Genomic DNA, 757 nt, shown 5'->3' with positions numbered 1-757 from the left:
TCCTAGGGACATGATTTTGGTCATTCAATATGAAAAAACAAAACCTCAAAGAAAAGCAAAGGGGTAGTAGAAAAGGAGGAGGAAAGCCTATGTATTAGTCTGTTTTCACATTGCTATAAAGAATTACCCAACACTGGGTAATTTATGAAGAAAAGAGGCTTACTTGACTCACAGTTCTGCAGGCTGTACATGAAGCATGGCTGCGGAGGCCTCAGGAGACTTACAATCATGGCAGAAGGTGAAGGGGAAGCAGACACATCTTACCATGGTGGAGCAGGAGAGGGAGAAAGAAAGGGGAAGTGCTATACACTTTCGAACAACCAGATCTCATGAGAACGCATTCACTTTCAGGAGAACAGCAAGGGGGAAATCTGCCTCCTTGATTCAATTACCTCGCACCAGGTGCTTTCCCCAACACTGGGGATTACAATTCAACAGGAGATTTCGATGAGGACACGGAGCCAAACCATATCAACCTAACTTGAAATTTTCATCTGCTAAGACATAAAAAACCAAGTTATAATTGTTCTTAAAAATCAGGGTGGCTGACTGGCATGTGTAGAGAGATGTAAGAAAAGAGACTGGGTGCAGTGGCTCAAGCCTGTAATCCCAGCACTTTGGAAAGCCGAGGCAGGCAGATCACCTGAGGTCGGGAGTTTGAGACCAGCCTGACCAACATGGAGAAACCCCGTCACTACTGAAAATTCAAAAATCAGCTAGGCGTGGTGGTGCATGCCTGTAATCTCAACTACTCAGG

At 44.9% G+C, this 757-nt stretch overlaps 1 annotated feature.

Moving 5' to 3' along the window:
* Positions 421 to 490: an enhancer, noted in NCBI's record as "active region_17103". NCBI's record gives its function as "activates an Ori minimal core promoter by ATAC-STARR-seq in GM12878 lymphoblastoid cells {active_cell/tissue: GM12878}" and the evidence as "EXISTENCE:reporter gene assay evidence [ECO:0000049][PMID:35858748]".

The sequence above is a fragment of the Homo sapiens genome, chromosome 2, assembly GCF_000001405.40.
Source record: "Homo sapiens chromosome 2, GRCh38.p14 Primary Assembly".
NCBI lineage: Eukaryota > Metazoa > Chordata > Mammalia > Primates > Hominidae > Homo > Homo sapiens.
This window is presented reverse-complemented; position numbering and strand designations above follow the sequence as displayed.